The sequence below is a fragment of the Homo sapiens genome, chromosome 4, assembly GCF_000001405.40.
Source record: "Homo sapiens chromosome 4, GRCh38.p14 Primary Assembly".
Taxonomy (NCBI): Eukaryota; Metazoa; Chordata; class Mammalia; order Primates; family Hominidae; genus Homo; species Homo sapiens.
The window spans coordinates 21,300,622-21,321,439 of NC_000004.12; the positions used below are offsets into that span (position 1 = coordinate 21,300,622).

General features: G+C 39.1%; 1 protein-coding gene across 7 annotated transcripts in view, besides 1 other annotated feature; it reads right to left on the bottom strand.

Annotated features, from left to right (window-relative positions):
- The window catches only part of KCNIP4 (potassium voltage-gated channel interacting protein 4), a 1,220,167-nt gene that overhangs the window by 572,016 nt on the left and 627,333 nt on the right, over window positions 1-20,818 (bottom strand). Inside the window, exon 1 of one of the 7 annotated variants that reach the window (NM_147183.3) lies at window positions 3,186-3,285. The exons of the other annotated variants lie outside the window; for them this stretch is intronic. Within the exon in view, the coding sequence (NP_671712.1) occupies window positions 3,186-3,285 (100 nt within the window). Of the gene's footprint in view, window positions 1-3,185; window positions 3,286-20,818 lie in introns of those variants that run through there. 7 annotated transcript variants of the gene reach the window in all.
- Window positions 3,328-3,828: an enhancer, noted in NCBI's record as "H3K4me1 hESC enhancer chr4:21305572-21306072 (GRCh37/hg19 assembly coordinates)". NCBI's record gives its function as "activates a minimal SCP1, AML or CMV promoter by ChIP-STARR-seq in primed H9 embryonic stem cells {active_cell/tissue: H9 hESC(primed)}" and the evidence as "EXISTENCE:reporter gene assay evidence [ECO:0000049][PMID:30033119]".

Sequence of the window (20,818 nt, forward strand, 5' to 3'; positions counted from 1 at the left end):
ACAGCAGCCCCACACGTCAAATTCTAGAGCTACAGGAAAGGATGTTTCTCTATTCTCTTGAAATACAATGAATATTTCCCTGAGGTATGATGAATTATCCTACTATGGAAGAGAAGGAAAGATTAGTCTAACCATTATACTGTATATCAATTCCAAAATAGGCCGCTGATATCTATTTTATGGTAAATGATATGTGTTACATAAATTCTCAAATTTTAATTTCCTGTTACACTCATTGAAGTTTTGAAATTGAAAGTTCCATGGAGATTATCAAGCCCAGTTTTCTCATTTTAGAAAACTAGAGAGGTAAAGTGACTTAATCCAAGGTTAGAGAAAGCAAGAGAGTAGCAGAGGAGGCATAAGCATTTGTGCTCCAACTACTATTTTATATTCTCAGGAGAAAGAATGTTACCTGCTAACTGTAACTCTTGGGTTATAAACATATGACATGGATCTCTGTGTAGTATTATGTATTCATGAATATCACACATAGATCAGAACAGGACCCAAGACTCAAGGACCTAATCCCCAGTCTTCTACAATGAAGGAGAACTCAAATCACTTAAAGATAAGCAAATACAAATAATTTAAACTTTTATATTACCAATTTATTTTGAAGTACATGTATTCTACACATAGATAAAAGCAAAATAACAACTACATTATACAAATGTCATATTTTATATGTCCTTCAGAACAATATGCATATTTCAAATATAATAATACAAAAAAACTACATTGTGAATACCATGTATACTATAAAACAGTTGTAAGTTTACATGAGGAGGTTTAATGATTTAGGGAAAAAGTTCACAATCATCCTCATAAGGCTTTAACCTAGGTTCAAGATTTTCTACTTAATATTCAAATTCTTTCATAGGACAATTGAGCAGACAGAAATAAGAAAGGTGAAATAAATCATTATCTTCTGAACTTAGACATGCAAAATGGTGCAGGAGGAAAGGAACTCTCAGGCGAAAAGAAATCGGAATGAAATGAGCATCAGTACTTTTTTTTAAGAAAGTTTCAGAAGAAAACTATGAAGATGCTAGCTTGATAATAAACATTGCTTATCCTTCTATTAATTAAAATTAGGCTGTAACTGTAGAGTGCACACATTCTGATCTATAGACTTAAACTACACACAATCAGCTATATCAATCTATTCATTTGTTTTTTATCTCCAGCTAGCAAAGTATTTAGTCAAATTAAATCTTGTTTTAAAGGGCTTCTCACTCTAAGATTTACTTTGGAGATTTGTCTTATACAGACTTCCAAATGAAAAACACTATTGCTTTCTATCTCTGTCAACTTTTATTCATTAAATATTTCTTCCTTAATGTGGTTATCAACATTTTACTATTTATAATTACTTCCTAACAATCACTGGAAATCATATATGAAGTTTATATTAAAGTTTCTGAGATAGTGCATTCTCTCCATAGTATTAGTCCAAGATTGTCCTGGAGAATGCTGATATTGTAAAACGTAAAGTACAAGAGAGAAATTGTTCATACAAATCAGTACAGCTTTGAATTCAAGCAATAATAAAAAGGAAAGACTTCATAGAGGTTAGCAGCTCTTAGAGGAAGGAAACACAAGTTCTCATTTGGGAGAGGGAATATTTGTGCTCCTGAAACAAGCAGAACCAATACTAGAGTAGGTGTCATCACCAAATCCAGATTCAAAGCCTTCCACACAAGAGCTGAAAGAATGGCCACACAACATCCATGAAATGAGATGAAACAAGTCCCTCAACAGAGCTAGGAATTCTGAGATTGTTCCATGAATTGTCAGTCTCACAGAGAATAAAAACCAGTTCATTAAAATGGGACATCCCAATCACATTTGCCAACTAAAATAACACACACAAATGAACAGAGAAGCCAAACCAAGTTACTGGTTTCATGAGAGTGTACAACATGAAGTCAGTTTTAAAGAGCAATGGCCACTTCTAGATTTTAGAACTTATCCTCTTTCTAGAACTACAGATATTTCCATCAGAGAGGGCTACCAAAAGCATTCTGCAACTTATTTTAAAATTAAATAAACAAACCCAGCTCTCCACCATCCCCCGCCTCCTGCGCCCTGCATCCCCCGCCCCATGAGTTATAAATGTAGGTTTCTGGTAACCTACATCAGAGTGACACACTTATTTTAATTTGATGTTTGCTATTTGTAAATGCAATCTCATTTATGTTACACTGTGGCAGCCATTCTCTGGAGGGCTGGATTAGTTGTGGATGTAAATACATTTATAATGTATTTTCCTTTTTACTTAAGTTTAAAATTTGAAGCAAGGAAAATATCTAAACATAACTACGTCAAACATCATCTAGAGCTTCTTTTAAAAATTGCTCTGCCAACTTTAGAGAAACAATGACTGGCTGTATGCAAACACACTCTCAAAATGTGTTCTGAGCAGTTAGAAAATTATAATGTAAATTTACTCAGATTCCCAGAGAAACATTTAATTTAGGAAACAATAAGGACAAATACAAAATGTATTGTTTAAACAAAGAGGTGATTGATAAGGAGAACAGGAGAACAAGCCTCTAATGAACATAAACAGCAATACTTGAAAAACAATTGGCTACCTGGAATCTATGTTAAAGTCTGTTATATGAGTTAGAGTCTTTTCCCCTTAGAATCTCTGTTAGCATGTAAAATAGGTAACATTATAAACACTTCTCCAGAAGACTTTATGAAAAGCCTGTCATTCTCAGGCTCCAACCTTAGACCATAAGAAATTATGTCTATTTATTTCCATTTGATCAATGTATTTGCATAGCAAGAAATGAGTGATCTCACAATATACCCAAATAAAATTTGCCGATACAATAAAAGGAGGTACTAGATAAAATAATCAAGCATCAGTATGGACTAAATACTCTCAAAATAAGCAGGTAGATCCATTACAAACCCTTAATTACTTCAGTTTTTGTTCTGACATTTTTGATCCAAAGTGTTTCTCCTAGTTTTAACATTCTCTTGTGAAAACATTACTGCAACTTACAAAAAGTTTATTTCATTAATCTTTCCTACCCTGAAAAACCTGGCTTCCTTCATGTCCATCCCAGAGTAACATTTCTCTGATCTCATTTCAGGTGCCTCTTACATTCACCTAAGACATTTTCATTGCAAAACAGAGAATTTTTAGAAGTCACTAAAAAGCACTCCCTTACCTTCTAAACCTGCTTCAATCAGCCCAAACTGTTCCAATAATTTAACAAAAAGCACAATGACGATCAGAACTGCTATCATTTCAAGCCCTTCCAAGTTCATGGTCAGCTAGGTCATGGTCCGACCACAGCCACTGAGAAGTGCTCCTCTGCCTGGCTTTCTTTGTAAAGCCATTAAACTACATTAAGAAGGCTACTGCTGGAGAAAGGGGAGGAGGAGAGCGTATGAGAGAGAGAGAGAGAGAGAGAGAGAGAGAGAGAGAGACAGAGAGAGAGAGAGAGACAGAGAGAGAGAGAGAGAGAGACAGAGGAGAGAGAGGGAGAGAGAGAGAGAAGGGAAAAGAGACTAGATGGAGATGGAGAGGCTGAGAAAAAGGGCGTGAGTGACAGAAAATGCATTCATCCTGTCTGCTGTAGCAGAGGCCAGAAGTAGCAGCCGGATAAAGTCGGGCCTGTCGGAATTATCGGCTTCCTCATTATCACTCTTGCACAGAGAGACAGCCACGCATGAAGTCGCGGCGCAGATCACCCGAGGACCCAGGAGGTCACCAGGAACGTCCCGAGGAAACATGAGGCCCGGCGCGGAGGAGATGGCTCTGCGCCCCGGGACTCTGCGCGCCGCGCCGCCGCCACCAGTGGCTTTGTTGGGCCGGCCAGTTGCCTTGGAAACAAGAGAACCCAAGGAAGGGCTGGACTCCTGCTGCAGACAGGGAGCAGAGCACCGCACCTTGAAATACGGAGAAAAACCTGAAAACGCTGAGAGGTGGAGTGACAACTTGCATTCAGCTGTTTCAGAAACATTGTTGACCAGTAAGGAAAATCCAAATGTGTATTTTGTCCCAACTAGCTGAGTGCAGATTGCAACGAGGCTTAAGGGAGTCCTTCAATATTGACTTTCTTTCCCATGAGTCACCTTATCCGAAAGCTCAGTCACTGAGCACTAATATTCTGGTTTGAGTAGTAACTATCATATCTTTTTGAAGCATGGGAATAATAAACTAATAAGTATTCATCATATTTGCATAGTATCTTAGAGTTTAGCAGCTACCTCCTCTGCACTACTTCATACCATTCAATACACCAAAATATATACAGTATTTAATGTGTCCTTCTATCCTTTATAAATAATGATGTAAGTAAATTTGGAGCCAGGAAAAGTTTGAGAATAAAAAAAAAAAATCTGAAAAAAAGCGGAAGTTTTTGTCTCTCTCTTGCACAAACTGTTTCATCTTTTTCTTTCCTCCTAACACTGCCCAAATAGATTAGCTCCACAATGAAATACAGAATTTAAAAAAACTACAAGAGAGAGACAGCATCTTAGAAAGCCAATTAAAGTCTCCTATTTCATAGATGAACAAGCTGAGGACTGAAGAGAGCAAAAGAAATGAGGCAAAAAGGCAGAGCAGGATAGAATGAAGGCATCCTTCACTTGGGGTTGGCTTTTGAGGCAGTGGAGTATAAGTTTAGAATATAAACTCCAGGGACAGACTGCTGGGATCTCTTACTAGCTGTGTGACCTTAGGTAAGTTACTTAACATCTCAGTGTCTTAATGTCCTCATCTATGAAGAGAGGCATAATAGCACCTAGCTCATCACTCTGTTGAGGGAATTAATGAGTGACACTTTTAGAAAAGAGTGAGTGCTCAATCACTACCACCTCGGGTGCTTTTCACAAGTGTCTCCATGCTCTACTCAGACTTTGCTGGGTTGCCAGAGGAATCAATCTGGAGGAAGTGCAGTCCTCCTCTTATCATTCTCTTAATCAGAAACCTTCCATGGCTCCCTATTTGCCTACAGAACAAAGTTGAAGCTCCTTTGAAGAGCATCCTTTTCTCTCCGTGATCCGGTACCTCCTTGAGGATTGCACCTCAGTGGTCTTACTCCTGTCGATACACTCTACCTGACAGCTCAGCTTCCTTCACCCAAACTCATTCTGGGCTTTTCCATTTCTAGGACTTTGCTAAAATTGCTCTATCTATTTAGAAAAACCTTCTTACACCATCTCTGCCTGTCAAGCTCTTAAAACTCTTTCATGGAAACTTCAACCAGAATTGGATCAAATCTCTCTTTTTTGTGTTTTTACGGTACTTTTCCTACTTATGATGTATTATATGATAGCCATATGGGTATACATTCTCTCCATTAAAGGGTAGGCTGCCAGAGGGCAGAGATCATGCCTTGCTAATCTAGATAGTCACTACTGTGCCTCCATGGAGGGCACTTCTTACTTCATAGATGTTTGCTGGATAATAAAAGTCATCAATGATTAGGTGATTACTACACACCAGATGCTTTAATGCATTGCTCCTTCCTAGACATTCTAAAAGTAGGGATGATGATTTGCAGGTGTAACACTAGCCTCAGAGAACCTAAGTAGCAGGCTCAAGGTCACACAGCTGGTGAATGACGGAACCAAGCTTCAAATTCTGATGTGTTTAATGCAAAACCCATTACTTCATCCCATTATCCAACAGGGCTTTAAATGAATTAAAAATCCAAATATTGGCACAAGTGCTTATCAGCATGGGGTGAAGGTTATACCCAAAATGATCCCCCACACTGTTTTGTGACATTCTTTTTTTTGAGAGAGAGAGACAGGGTTTTGCTCTGTAGCCCAGGCTTGAGAGCAGTGGTGTGATCACAGCTCACTACAGCCTTAACCTCCAGAGCTCAAGTGATCTTCCTGTCTCAGCCTCCCAAAGTGCTGGGATTACATGCATGGGCTACCGCAACTGGCTGACACACTGTTTTAGCCATTAACTCCGGTAACTTTGGAACATGAAAAGCATCCAAACTAGTAGTTAATTAAACTCAAGGATCTTTCTTCCTCCTCATTCACAGGATTAATATTACTTAAACACACACCACCTCGGAACTCAAAAGGGAGTTGTTTTTCTAGTACAGTGAACTCTGCAGAGCCCTTCAGCTTGCCTTATATATGAATGTCCATAGTCAAGTGCTTTGTGTTCACATTTAAAGTTGATGACCTGGGGCTGAGAAACATATGTAGGCAGGAACTTTTTTTTTTTTTCTTGAGATGGTGTTTCACTCTTGTTGCCCACATTGGAGTGCAATGGTGAGCGATCTCGGCTCACCGCAACCTCCGTCTCCTGGGTTCAAGCAATTCTCCTGCCTCAGCCTCCTGAGTAGCTGGGATTACAGGCATGCACCACCACACCCAGCTAATTTTGTATTTTTAGTAGAGACGGGGTTTCTCCATGTTGGTGAGGCTGGTTTTGAACTCCCGACATCAGGTGATATGCCCACCTTGGACCCCCAAAGTCCTGGGATTACAGGCGTGAGCAACTGTGCCTGGCAACCGTGCCGGGCCGGCAGGAACTATTGAAGAGCATCAGAGTGAGAGTCCTTCCACTTGGTCTGGATGTCAAAATTACGGGTTCCTTTGCTGTTATGTTTTTCATCCCAAGGCCTGAGGGTTTTTCTTTTTTTAAATGTTTATGTCATTAGCTCCAGCCTTTGTATTTCCCTCTCTTGCAGTGCTTATCCCCATATCTTCCCATGAGTAAGTGACTTGACTTAGGTCTTAGTTCCAAAATTCCTATCACAGAGAGGCCCTTTCTAACTGTACTATATAGAAAAACCTCCCTCACCTGGCCCTGGAATCACTACCCTCTGAACCAGTGTTATTTTCCTCCAAAGCATTGTCACCACCTGGCATGTATATTTGTTTATTAAGTGTCTCCTTCTGCCAGAATTGCTACAATATAAACTCCTACCCATGAGGGTAGAGATTTTTGTTTGTCTTGTTCAATATAATATCCTCAATCCCAGAATGGTGCCTGGTGAATAAGAGGGAGTGAGTGGTTGTTGAATGAATAATCTGATTGATATTCTCACCTAAAAAGCTACCTGCTCTCTCACTGATCTGGCAGAGCCCAATTTCCTGTTACCAGCATGCCTCCTCTGCCTGGGGAGCCTGAGAGATTTCCATACTTTTTTTTTAGGAAGTCCTATTCCTACTGCTTCTTTTTAAGGTGAGCCATGAGCACTGCATGCTCACACATATTAGCTGTGCTCTATCTTCAGCATTTAATGTGAATATGATTTGTGGTTCCTGCCCACGTGAACAATGAAAGCAATACAAGGAAGGCAGCCAAGAAGGTTGCCCTGCCCAAAATATCTTAAAATCACTGGTGTGGATGATAAGTACCTTGGATAGCATCCACTCTCATCCCTTCATTTTCAGCTAAAAGAACACTGCAGTCTAAATAAGTAAAGTTACTTAACTACATATGCAACTCTTACCTTCAAGTCGCAGCGTGGATTCAAACTAAAATATTAATCCAATATATTTTCTTCCTGTAGGGCCTTGAATTCCCTTTTAAAAGAGAAATATTAAGAGCATCCAACAGAAAGAGGAAACCTAAATACTGGCTCCAAATCTTTGTCCTCGTTTGGATTACTTAAACTTGCTAAGCTTTGGTTTGCTGGTCTTCAAAATGAGGCCAATATCCCTCCTTCAGGGAAGTGTTGTGAGGATTAGGTGCAATAATATTTCTAAATGATACTTAATCTCCGTGGAGCACATACGTTTTCAAGCAGTGGGCCTAACACATAGAATCTTCCTTTCTAAATACCCCTCTTTGAGGAAGAGAGGGGTTTACATTTCCATCTTATGGATGAGGAAACAAAGGCTTGTGAAGGACTAGTCAATTTCCCCCACATCCCAAAGCATCTGAAGCCAGTGGGGCTGATAGCTGCTTGCTGATGGTCATAACATTTTCCCATGTGTCTCATGTAACAGTGGCCAGGAATACCCAAAGCATTCAATGAAACAAACATCACCAGCATAAGTAACCCAACACTTGATAGTGACTTTTTAAAAGATTTCTCGCCCTTTCTGCATTAATGTTAGATACAAGAAAGTTCTGTGCCCCTGCCGTGTGAGTGTGTGTGTGTGTGTGTGTGTGTGTGTAGCAGATAAGTATGAAGCGGCAGTGAGAGAAAAGGGACACTGTTGTGACAGTTTGCCAAAATTTTCTTCTCTGCAATGCATTCTCACGTAACTACTGAGGAGGGTGAGAGGCTGTTTCAGGCGCCCCCATTTAAAGAAGTTTCTTCAAAGCAATTTTGGGGAGTCCTTCAGCTCAGGCTCTACTGCTGCATGAAGGTTATCTCTTGCCTGTCCCCAGAAAAATGAACGTGCTTAGAGACACTCTTACTTTTGCACTTCAGAGCGTACCCCTAAAGTGCAGTTTATTCAAAATCACCAGTTAACTCACAGTAATGAACCCATTTCTGCTTTGATTCCAGCAATATGGCTTTTGGAAGAAAAATAATGTTTATAAAATGAAAGATTAGTTTGCCCTTTGATGAACTGAGGCAGGGAACAAAGGGATTTTGGCACGTTATGTCTCTCTAGATTCCAGGCTGGGAAGGCTTTAAAGAGAAGAAGAGAAAGGGGGCGAACTTTCTCTACGCTTTCACCACAGAGTCCCAGTGAGTTGGCCTTCTCAAGACCTAACCTTCATTCAGTTTGTTTCTGATTGTTCATCTTTCATTCAATTGCTAAAGTTGTGGTCCAGGTACTATATAAGCCAGTATGAGTAATAAAAAGATGAATACCCATTTTTCCATGAGCTGATTATTAAGTATTTCATACCTGTACAAAAATATCACTTGTAGCCCATAAATATATCTATGTACTCACAAAATTAAAAATTAAAAAAATATATCCTTAGTCTTCACTAGCTTAAAATCTATTAAAAACAAAATTCAGATGATAATAGCTCATGTGTGTAGAATAATCACTATCTGAGAGACTAGCACACGGAGCACTTTATATGGATTATTTCACTGTATCCTCTGTAAACCCTATGAGGCAGCTACTAATGCTATCTCCATTTTGCAAGGGGAAATTGAGGAATGGAGGCCTCATTGGGTTATACCAGGAAATATCCAGCTCGGGATTGAAACCCAAGTCTGACTCCAGTGATCAAGAGATAATATTTTAGATGCCATTGAAAACACCTGAAATTCAAAGCAGCATCTGGTAAAAGTCTTTAAGAAAGTATGGAAAGTACCATGAGATCAGGGAAAGCTGACAGGCTCTAATGGTAGTGGCAGGTAGGGGAATCGAACTAAGATCAGCTTTATAGAGATCACGTTGTGCTGATACTATGTAGATACTAGGTGGTATTTTTCTTTTCATAGGAAAGGCAATGTATATTACATGACCAATGGAGAAGAAAACTAGTCTTGCCAGATATTTTTTGGTTTTTTTGAGACAAGGCCTTGCTTTTTCACCTAGGATGGAATGCAGTGGCCCGATCTCAGCTCATTGCAACTTCCACCGCCTCCCAGGTTCAAGCAGTTCTCCTGTCTCAGCCTCCCGAGTAGCTGGGAGTGCAGGCGTGCATCACCACAACCAGCTAATTTTTGTATTTTTAGTAGAGATGGAGTTTCACCATTTCTAGGGCTAGGCTGGTCTTGAACTCCTGACCTCATGTGATCCGTCCGCCTCTGCCTCCCAAAGTGCTGGGACTACAGGTGTAAGCCACCACACCCAGCCTTGCCAGAGAATTTACCCAGAGCCTGAAAGAACAGTCAAAGCCCATCTCAAATCACTTGCCCAGGTGCTCCTGGAAAGTTTCTTCCCCTCATTTTTCAGACCATCTCCTATTCTGGTGCGCAAAATCAGCATCAGTGACCTGCCTTTAACTTCCTTTGGCACTTACTTGATCCAAGAGAAGCCTGGCTGAATCTTAGGATTGAGTGAATAGAAAGCAAATTTGACCCTTCAAAATGAACTGAAAGAAAACGAGCAGAAGGCAAAGGCATCACATAATAAATGTATTTCTTTCTTCTTCTTTTTTTTCTTTTTTTGAGACGGAATCTCACTCTGTTGCCCAGGCTGGAGTGCAGTGGCGCGATTTCGGGTCATTGCAAGCTCCGCCTCCGAGGTTCAAGCCATTCTCCTGCCTCAGCCTCCCGAGTAGCTGGGACTACAGGCACGTGCACGACGTCGGCTAATTTTTTGTATTTTAATAGAGACGGGGTTTCACCATGTTAGCCAGGACGGTCTGGATCGCCTAACCTCGTGATCCGCCCGCCTCGACCTCCCAAAGTGCTGGGATTACAGGAGTGAGCCACTATGCCTGGTCTGAGAAATGCATTTCAATAATAATGTGAAAAGACAATGAGCCGCATTTATGGCAGAGGCAGTACAATGCAGAGGTTAAGAGTATGCTTGGGTTTAAATCCCCACTTTGTTTCTTTAGAGCCTTGTGACTTTGGGCAAATTGCTGAGATAAGTCATACAAAGCACTTAGAACAGAGACTGTCACTGTGTAAATGCTCAATAAATAGTAGCTGTTATTGTTATTTATTGAGCTCTTGCTACACATCAAGTACTGTTCTAATTGAATTATCTTAATATGTCCATATAACAAACTCAATGAACCAAGTACTATTATTATTCCTAGCCACTATATGGATAAGAAGGACTAGGGCATCTGCAATTGAGGTGGAATTCTAAGGAAAACACATTGCTTATACCCACCCATGAAGCTGACCACCATCTTCACCACGAGTAATATAGGAAGAAATTATAAACTTATAATGGCTTGGTTTTTAAATTGTTCTTCTTAAAAATGATGGAAACCACCTGTTATCCCAGCACTTTGGGAGGCCTAGGTGGGCGGATCATGAGGTCAAGAGATCGAGACCATCCTGGCCAACATGGTGAAACCCCATCTCTACTAAAAATACAAAAATTAACTGGGTGTGATGGTGCGTGCCTGTAGTCCCAGCTACTTGGGAGGCTGAGGCGGGAGAATCGCTTGAACCCAGGAGATGGAGGTTGCAGTGAGCCGAGATCATGCCACTGCACTCCAGTCTGGTGTCAGGGCAAGACTCTGTCTCAAAAAAAAGAAAAAAAATGTAAAAAGCCTGAAAATAACTATCTTGAACACTGATATTTGAGGACATCTTTGTCACCTTCCATTCTGAAACATTTCACAAGATGAACAGATGCAGTGAGGTGTTGGCATGACATCAGATTACAGATTCTACTCAAATTCAAGTGGGGTTTCAAAGGGTCCTATCATCATTTCCTTGAGGAAACCCACCTTCAAGGGCATATTTGACTGCTTCATAAGTCTCATCAGCCCCATGATCTATGAATCACAATGTAGTTCTAGACTAGTCTAGTCTTATTTGGTCTAGTTCCATGACTAGACAATATCCTTAATGATGAAGGATCAACACCACACCCAGACTTCACCACCCATCCTTGTCCTAAGAATAAATAGCAAACACAAGCTGCTCAGTGGGTAAAGGTAGTTAAATGGAGGAACAATAGACAGGGACTCAAACAACTCATTTGAGCTGTACATTACCACATTCTTAAAGGACTGAAGACAAATGGGAGGAAAGGAATTGGTAGCAAGAGTGTCCAGCACTGGCAAGAGAGAACAGAGAACTAAGCTGTTATACATATGTATTGACTCGTGGTGCTCAAACTGTTATGTGCATCAGCATTAACTAGAAAGCTCCCTAAAAAGGAATCCTCAGACCTTTCCCAGAGATTCTCATTTCATAGGTCTTAGGTAGAGACCCTGGATCTCCATTTTTCTCAAAAGTTCTAATGATTCTTATGCAGGACTTCTCTGGACCACACTGTGAGAAACACTGCATTAATCTGCTCAAACACCCTCACCCATGTAAGGAACACATTCTCCCAGCTCTTCAAAACTAGCTGAGAGTCACACCTTTTACAAACTTGACATGGTTAAGAATAGACGGGGGTTCCTTCGGTTTCTCATACTTCTCTGGAAAGTTTTTTCTTCGAATAAAAGTAAGGCATTTTAAACAGATTGGGAATAGACACAAGTTTCTATTCCATATTTAAAGGGTTTTGTTTGTTTGTTTTTATTCAGGTCATTCATTTCCTGCATTCATGACAACTTTCTCTCATCAATGAGCTTTAGATACCAACTTTAGTAGAGACAGAGGACTGTGAATGATCCCACACTTTTCTGCATCACTTCATAACCTAGCTCCCATCTTTGATCTGTCCCTGGAGAATCCGTCTTTCAGCTCCAAATGTAATCACTTAAGTGAAGGGCAGAACTGATGTGCAGCCATCTTAATAGCCAAGCTAAGTGAAGTAAATAGAATTGATAGATACAAATGTTCAGAAGTGTGAAGCTGATTTAGATAAAGTAGATATTTCAGTTTGAGATCTAATAAAAAGCAAAACAGCAGCCACATGGAGCCCTTTCCCATTACTCCCTGGGTCTAATCTTTATCTAAATCAATACTATAAAAGTAACAAAAGACACAAAGTTGTCTGATGCATAATTCACTTATTATGAACTCATGTAAGATGCAAATAATTGAAACAGGATTATTTATGTGATCATTAAACCCAAGGGTAATTTCAACAGATTTTTAGCCCTGGTTAATAAAAATCTTAGTTGTGGATACATATTTAGCCAGATTTCCTTCCAAATATCGTCTCCTCCAACAAATTATTCCTCATTACAGCTGACATGCTGTACTTCCTCACTGTAATAGAGTATAAATAATTGTTTATCCTATTATTTTATTGCACCAAAGAAATATAAAATGTAAAAAGCAATATACAACAATCTCCTTGACAATTATTCATGTTTATATGCTGTAGTTTAATTACTAACAATTCTAACTACTCACTTGTTATTAACTTTGATTTTAAACACAAATATTTCAAATAAAAAACCTATGATAACCAAGTTAAACTAGAATCGAATTATGAATACTAATTAAGTATATATTTTATTTGAAAAACACACAGGACACCGTTAGTAGAACCACACTGAAAAGAAAAATTATCCTCAATGCAATGGAAATGTAACCCATTAAATAATACAAAGTGGCCTCAAAGAATTAAAGATTAGCTTGTATGGATAACTGAGAGCATGCTATGTTAAGTTTATTATGAGCAGACTAAAACTCTCTTGAAGGGTCATCAAAACAAGCCAGTCAAGCCTGACCTGCTGGTTTGATAACTCAGGATGGCACCTCTCTGAACTACGGTATTGTTTCACAGTTTTCTACTGCTGCATAGCACATCATCCCAAATTGAGTGACTTAGAACAACACAAATTTATTATTTCACAGTTTCTGTGGATAAGGAGTCTGGGTACAGGTTAGCAGAGTGCTCTATTCAGGCTTAAATCAAGATGTAGGCTCGGGCTGTGATCATATCTGAAGCTCTGTGTCCTAAGATCACAGTTTGTTGAAAGGATTCACTTCCTTGTAGTTTTATGACTGAGTTCCCCTGCTTTCTTGCTAGCTGTTGGACAGGGACCACTCTCATCTCCTAGACATTGCTCTTGGTGCCGTGTTCTGTCTGCAATGTGGTAGGTTGCTCTTTCAATGCTAGCAAGAAATGTCTTCCATGCTTCAAATTTCTCTGACCTCTTTTCAGGGCTTGGCCGATTAGGTCAGGCTCACTTGGGATTGCATCCCTTTGGATTAACTCAAAGTCAACTGATTAGGAACCTTAGTTACAGCTACAAAATCTTTTCACCCATATAGGGTACCAAAATTATGGTAGCAATATCCTATCATAGTAACAAATCCAATTCACACTTGAAGGAAAGGGATTATATAGGGTGTGTACATCAGGGTCATTTTAGGTGTGCAATCGTGAGGACTATTCTAGAATTCTGCCTACCACAACAGGTTTCCACTGTAACTGCTGAGTGGCATGCTAGGTGTTCTGTGGTTGTAGGAGGCTGAAGGATATTTTTTTTTATCTCATGCATTTTTCAAACTATATCTGAGGGGAGGCTCAGCATAGAACTACTGGACATTTGGCCACTGAATGCACAGAAGCCAACAGAAAGATGTAAAGTCCTGGAGTGTAAGCTCTCTATTAACAAGTCATGGTAACAAGGAAAGGAGAATGGCCAGAAAATGCCAATGCAAAACTCTGGCTACCTAGTGTGGTTAGACTATATGTTGAATAGCTGGCTTCATCCACTGAAATATATAAGGCAGAAAGAACTATCTAGAAAAGGATAAAGAGTACCATATTTGGGACCTTAACACTGTAGCTTGGGGCTCCATTTCTTTTAGAGCAGATTCTTCTTGTATTTATAGTTTTATTTTTATTTTTCCTGCTTCCTGTTGCTCTGCTCTGGCTATGTTTCCACTACAGTTATGGCTGATCTTATGATCTATTCACTTCCTCAAGTTAGATGATAGTGAAATACTGCCTGGACACAAATCCTAACTGGATACTTCACTGGCTACACAGCTTTGGGTAAATACCATCTTTCAGTCTCAGTTACATTACCTATACAACACAGATAGTAGTAACATCTCAGAGTTGTTAAGTTGAAATACAGTTGACCCTTGAACGACATAGGTTAGAGCCCCACAGACCAACTTATACACAGACTTCTATCTCTGCCACCTCTGAGACAGCAAGACCAACTTCTCTTCCTTCTCCCTCCTCAGCCTACTCAATGTGAAGATGACGAAGATGAAAGCCTTTATGATGATCTACTTCCACTTAATAAATGGTAAGCATAGTCTCTCTTCTTTATGATTTTTTTAATTTTTTTTACTAGCTTGCTTTCTTGTAAGAATTCAGCATATAATACATATACAACGCATGTGTTAATCCACTGTTTGTAATAGATCAGGCTTCTGGTCAACAGTAGGCTATCAATACCTCAATTTTTGGACAGCTAAAAGTTATACACAGATTTTCAACTGTGGGGGGGCCAGTGCCCTTACCTCTGCATTATTTAAAGGTCAACTGCCCTTAAAATACATCAAGCTCCCAGACAGTACCAAATCGACATTAAATAAATACTATTGTTATTGACATAATTAGTACAAGGTGGGTGTTATGGTTATTTTGCTCCCAAGGTATACCCAGAATCTAGGGCCATGTCTGATTTATGGCATCCACTCAACACATGACTGTCACAATTCTGTGAAGCCTCTCTTCCCTTCTGATCTACCCACTGTATACCTTGTTGTCAAAGTGAAAGGAACATGTAATTCCCCAGCTTCGATTTTCAGTGGTATTTTGCTGGTATATTTCATTTTGCAGAATGAAATCCGAAGTCATGGCAAGGCATTCAAAACCCCTACCAACTTTCCAAGGAACTATCCATCCTCATTTCCTGACCGACTGTGTTCACACTCTGTGTTCAGGTCATGAGAAACTACTGCTGTAACCCAAATGCCAGGGTGATTCCTCCAACTGCTTCCTTTTCCTTCTGAGAAATTCTTACCCATCATTTAAGAATCAGCTTAAATCCTTCCACTTGGGTGGAGGCTTTCATGAGCCCATCTTCCAAAGACAAGATTAACCCCTTCTTCTTTCTGCTTTGTAACTATATTCAACTACTATCCTTTCAAGATTTATGAGCAGGTTGACATACTATGTCCTGTACAAAACTATGAATCCTGGGGAGGAAGGGCCATATCTGATTTATATTTCTCTCCTCAGTACTTATCCATGTGCCTGAAATATATTAGTTGATCAGTAAATGTTGCAGTAAATGAAGGAGGAATGGAAAGGAACAAAGAAAGAAAAAAATGAATGGCATGCTATCTGGAGGGTACAAGGAAGATTTAAGCCAAAAGCATAACCCTGCAACAAAAATCACCATGTCTAGAATTCAACCATTAAAGATTTAATTTTTCACATTAAGCATTTCAGGTGTCCTGAAAATAACTCAAATGGCAGAAAACTTTAATCATTAACACCATGATATAACAGATTTTCATTTGTCACCTTTGCGCATGAAAAGTGAGACCACTGGCAACCTGGGAACTTGAAGCTGGTTGGCACTAATGTGTGAAGGCTATGTTGAGAGTCAGTCTGATAGCAAGTACAGAAGCTTAACCAGCAAAATAGCTAGCTAGTTGAACTGGAAAATCCAGAGTTATTTTAAGACAATGCAGAACGTTCCAGGACAATCCAGCAAATCACCAATATGCTAAATGATGCTTCTTCCTCCTGTTTTATTTTCTATATTAACTGTTTACTGTATTGAACATTCAAATGCATTGTCTTGAAATAATTATGTACTTGCTACCACCCTACTGATTGATACAGGCTGCCAAATTATTAAACCAAGTTTACAGAAGTCAGCTTCTGTTCTGGGAATAACTGGCTCGGGGTTTTATAATATATATTCCATTTCTTTAGGTACCCAAAAATGCCCAGCATGGTATTCTCAAAGGTAACATCAGTTTGTTCTTATGAGCTGCTCTGGCCTTCACATTTCTTAGGTGGCCATTCAGGAGATACTTACAAGACGATTTAGTGTTCTTGTGGGATATAAATGCTTGCCATTAGCAAAGGGAAAACTTGGCAACTGGTATGGAGTATCAAGTATTTCAAATAGTTTTTACTATTGAGTTGGATTTTATCAAACTCTTAACTTACATGCCAACTATCCCCTTTTCATATTTTAAATCCTTAATGATTTAACATAAAGTCCATCAGCACATTTTGATTGATGAACATAGAAATCATTTTTATTAACTAATATGAAGTTGTAAAAATATGTTTACTATTCTGTGTCCAAAAACACCTTTAATAATTTCTCCATGGGTCTCCTTATTTTGAGAAAAAAAGGTAACAATTTATGGAGGAAATCAAATGAGCAAATATCTATTTAAATAAACTAAGGATTTTTCAAGGGGTTGTTAACGATAATGTTGACAACTTGGTAAATAAGCAAACACTAACTCCTATTATACATATAAGGTGACAATGTGTGACTATAAAGAATAGAAAGTGTGCATATTTATCAAGAAATCATTGAGAAGCTATATTATGGTTATAATGGTGCTGGCCTTGCAGAAACATTTTGGAGATCCTCTTTTGAGAACTGATATGGTTTGGCTGTGTCCCCACCCAAATCTCATCTTGAATTCCCACTTGTTGTGGGAGGGACCCGGTGGGAGGTAATTGAATCACAGGAGCAGGTCTTTCCCATGCTGTTCTCATGATAGTGAATAAGTCCCAGGAGATCTGATGTTTTTAAAAACAGGAGTCTTCCTGCACAAGCTCTCTAACTCTTGTCTGCTGCCATGTGAGGCGTGTCTTTCACCTTCCACCATGATTGTGAGGCCTCCCCAGCCATGTGGAGCTGTAAGTCCAATAAACCTCTTTATTTTGTAAATTGCCCAGTCTTGGGTATGTCTTTACCAGCAGTGTGAAAACAGACTAATACAGGAACTGTCTTTAAATCCGATTTATAAATCATCCTGCCCTGCCTGCTCTAGCTGACACCTGGCTGCCCTCAGACTCAAACTTTCCAAACCTCTTCAAATCACATTTTGATGATCACTGATTTACTTCTTGTAAACAGCTTTACCAAAGAGGGAGACATTTTAAAAAAGACAGGTAAAATGACACGCAAGTAACTTAGCTATTCTCATTAGCTCATGTAAAGGTTTGCTAGGGAAAAAGATTGAAATTAATGGTTAGAATAAGCCTTTTGTGTTATCATTAAATTTCAATTATGTACAATCCTTGCTTACATTACCTGGAATAATTGGAAGTTCACAGCATCATTGTGAGTCAAAGCAATCCTAATAATTAATTTCTTGCTACTCAAGGTAGAAAGAGCCTCTATAATTCTACTCTATTTGGAAAAGGTATCATAGATTCACTATTCACTTAAGCCACTGACTTTGAATGTTTGAAATGGGATTTTGAAAAGGTCATTTTTCTATATATTTTATCAGTTATTTGCTTTTATATTTTTTGAGAGTTATGCATTGTGTATATAAGTACTGTGCCACTATTGTACCACCAAATAGTGGAAGCGAAAACGACACACTACTCGTGTTTTTTTCTTTCTAAAATCCTGGGTTTTTTTGCAGTGCTTTTTGATATGTGTCTTATTAACTGCAAGTTTATACATGAACTTAGGATTCATTTGTTAAAGAGCCTGAGCATGAAGAGAAGCTTATTTTTCTCTTCATGAGTGTAATCCTGCAGTTTTACAAGGTTAGTAAAAACCCTCTTGGGTTTTTATTTTTCCTGGACATTAGAAACATGAAGAGTCTTTCAATGAGAAATTATTTGAAAGGGAATTATATTTAGGCCATAAACAAGCTGTGAAAAAAACTCAACATAATCCCTCCTGTTAAAAAGGTTGAACTCCAGAATTTTACTAAATTGATAATGGTTGTACACACCTGTGAAGAATGAGGAACAACTCTAAGCAGATGACCTATCACGACAATTTAAAGAGAGAACTTATGAAATAAGTTGGAGAAAAATGCGCTAAAATACATTCAACGAGGCGCGAATTCTAGCCTGGCACTTAGGGCCTGCTCTATCCACAGGCAAAGGAAAATGGAAAAGATAAATCTAAAGGGAGCCAAGACCTGTCTGCTTCCCAAGGTCTACCAGGCATGGCTTGATCATGCTGGCTTTGCTTACAGCTTTGATCATTTGGTTGCAATTGACAGGTACTTGGACAAATCATGTCTGCAGTCAGAATGGACTTAAGGAATAACAAATCAACAGACACATGCTATACACAGAGTGAACCTTGCCTTCAGCCTTGCTGTGAACTTATGCTGCAGTTCTTATAACTAGTTTTCCCCTTATGTCTAAATCCATAGTTTATTCCTAGTACCTGCCTCTCAATTACCCAGAATCTTTTCCTAGAAACTCTTCTAATGCTACCACCACTCTGCAGCTCTGGAGGCTGCCTTCTCCTGGACATTCCACTGTTATGTCTAGGCCCATCATATCTTGCTGAATTCCTCAGAAATTTGAATCACCTAGTAGCCTGATAAATATCTATGCACACTGGATAGTCCTCCCCTTGTGAAGGTAAACTTCTTTCTACCCATGGTCAAGACCATCCAGTATATTCTCCTGGCCACCCTACACAGATGCACACAAGACACACACACAGATCCAAACAGACATCAGTCAAAAACTTTTCCACAACAATCAGCTCACTTCCACAAAAACAGAATCCTTTAGGGTGTGTTTTTGTTTTACAAAACTGGTCGTGTCCCACTAATGGATAGCAAAATCAACTTGATGAGTTCATGATTAGCAGTATGGAATAGAAAAGAAAAAGAAAAAAGAATAGGATAGAACTGGTGAGTGTTTTGCAAATAGAAAAGGCATTATTTTGTGAAATCCTTTTCAGTTATATTTATTTGTGTTTTTCTATATGTTCCTGGTTATGATAAAAAATGCACTTCTTACTGTAGTTCATCATCAGGAAAGTTTTCTAAACCATGTATTAGAGCATTTGGAGAGAAAAGCATCATTTCTACAGTTAACCTTATTGAAATTGTAAATTTGTGATCTGAAACAGATTACACATTAAACCAGTACTTCATTACAGACACAACAACAAACACAATTTCATCTGATAAGCAAGTTATCTTCAAGGAAGCAGATAAGCAGAGTTTGGAGGGAACAGGCATCTAAATAATTACATTTTGATGGCACAATGAGGAAATAATCTCTGTGATTGAATGGTTTACCAATTTAGGTGCTCTGGCCTGAAGGTGCCTGGCTAAGCAGGGGCTAGCATACTCGGGCACTGGGAAACTTGAAAGAGTGAGTCAAGGAAACTATAGAGAAGGGCTTGGCATAGGTGAGCTCCAAGTGTATAATCATTCTATTGCTAACAAATTGTGTTGGGTAGAACTGGTTAAGAACAATGATGGTGAGATCTTATATGTGTTTATGTGTTAGCATTTTTTAAAGGATTTTTCTACCTACTATATTGTTTTAGTGAGGCATCTTAGATGCAAAATGTAAGGTGATGCTCATTCTCAGGATTTGCAATTACCCTGTGAGCTTTGCTTGCCTGGCCCCAGTCTAGGTCCTGTACATGAGATATGACAGTATTGATTCCTAGGCCGGAAGCGGTGGCTCATGCCTGTAATCTCAGCACTTTGGGAGACCAAGGCGGGTGGATCACTTGAGGCCAGGAATTTCAGACCAGCCTGGCCAACATGGCGAAGCCCCATCTCTACTAAAAAGACAAAAATTAGCTGGGCATGGTGGTACGTGCCTGTAATCCCAGCTACTCTGAAGGCTGAGGCAGGAAAATTGCTTAAACCCGAGAGGTTGCAACAAACTGAGATGGTGCCACTGTACTCAAGCCTGGGCAATAGAGCAAGAATCTGTCTTAAAAAAAAAAAAAAAAAAGAGGAAAGTTAGTCCTACAGAATTTTAGCTGAAAGGTCATGAATTGTGGTAAATCTGAGTTTAAACCTTTGGCCTCCTGAGTTCTGGAAAAAATGCATTTTTTAATCTACTTCAAAAGACCTCAGTAAGAACTTATTCTGCATACATTTGCAAAGTAATGAACTGGCAAGATAAAGAGCCATACTATGGTTATTTGTTATGAAATGTTTGTTCAGAATGAAAGAATGGCAAAATGCAGCCAGCAAGGTTTCAGCCTTGAATCCTGCATTTAGTTTGAGGCACTTCCATTCCAGAAAGACAAAGACAAATTAAAAACCATTTAGAGAATGATAAAAAGATGAGTAGGGAAAAGAAAGGTTTGATTTATGAGGCTAGATTAAAGGAGATAAATGCCTATTATGTGGCTAAGTGACAACCAGGGAAGATAAGAATCTACAGATATTGGGAAGATGTAAAT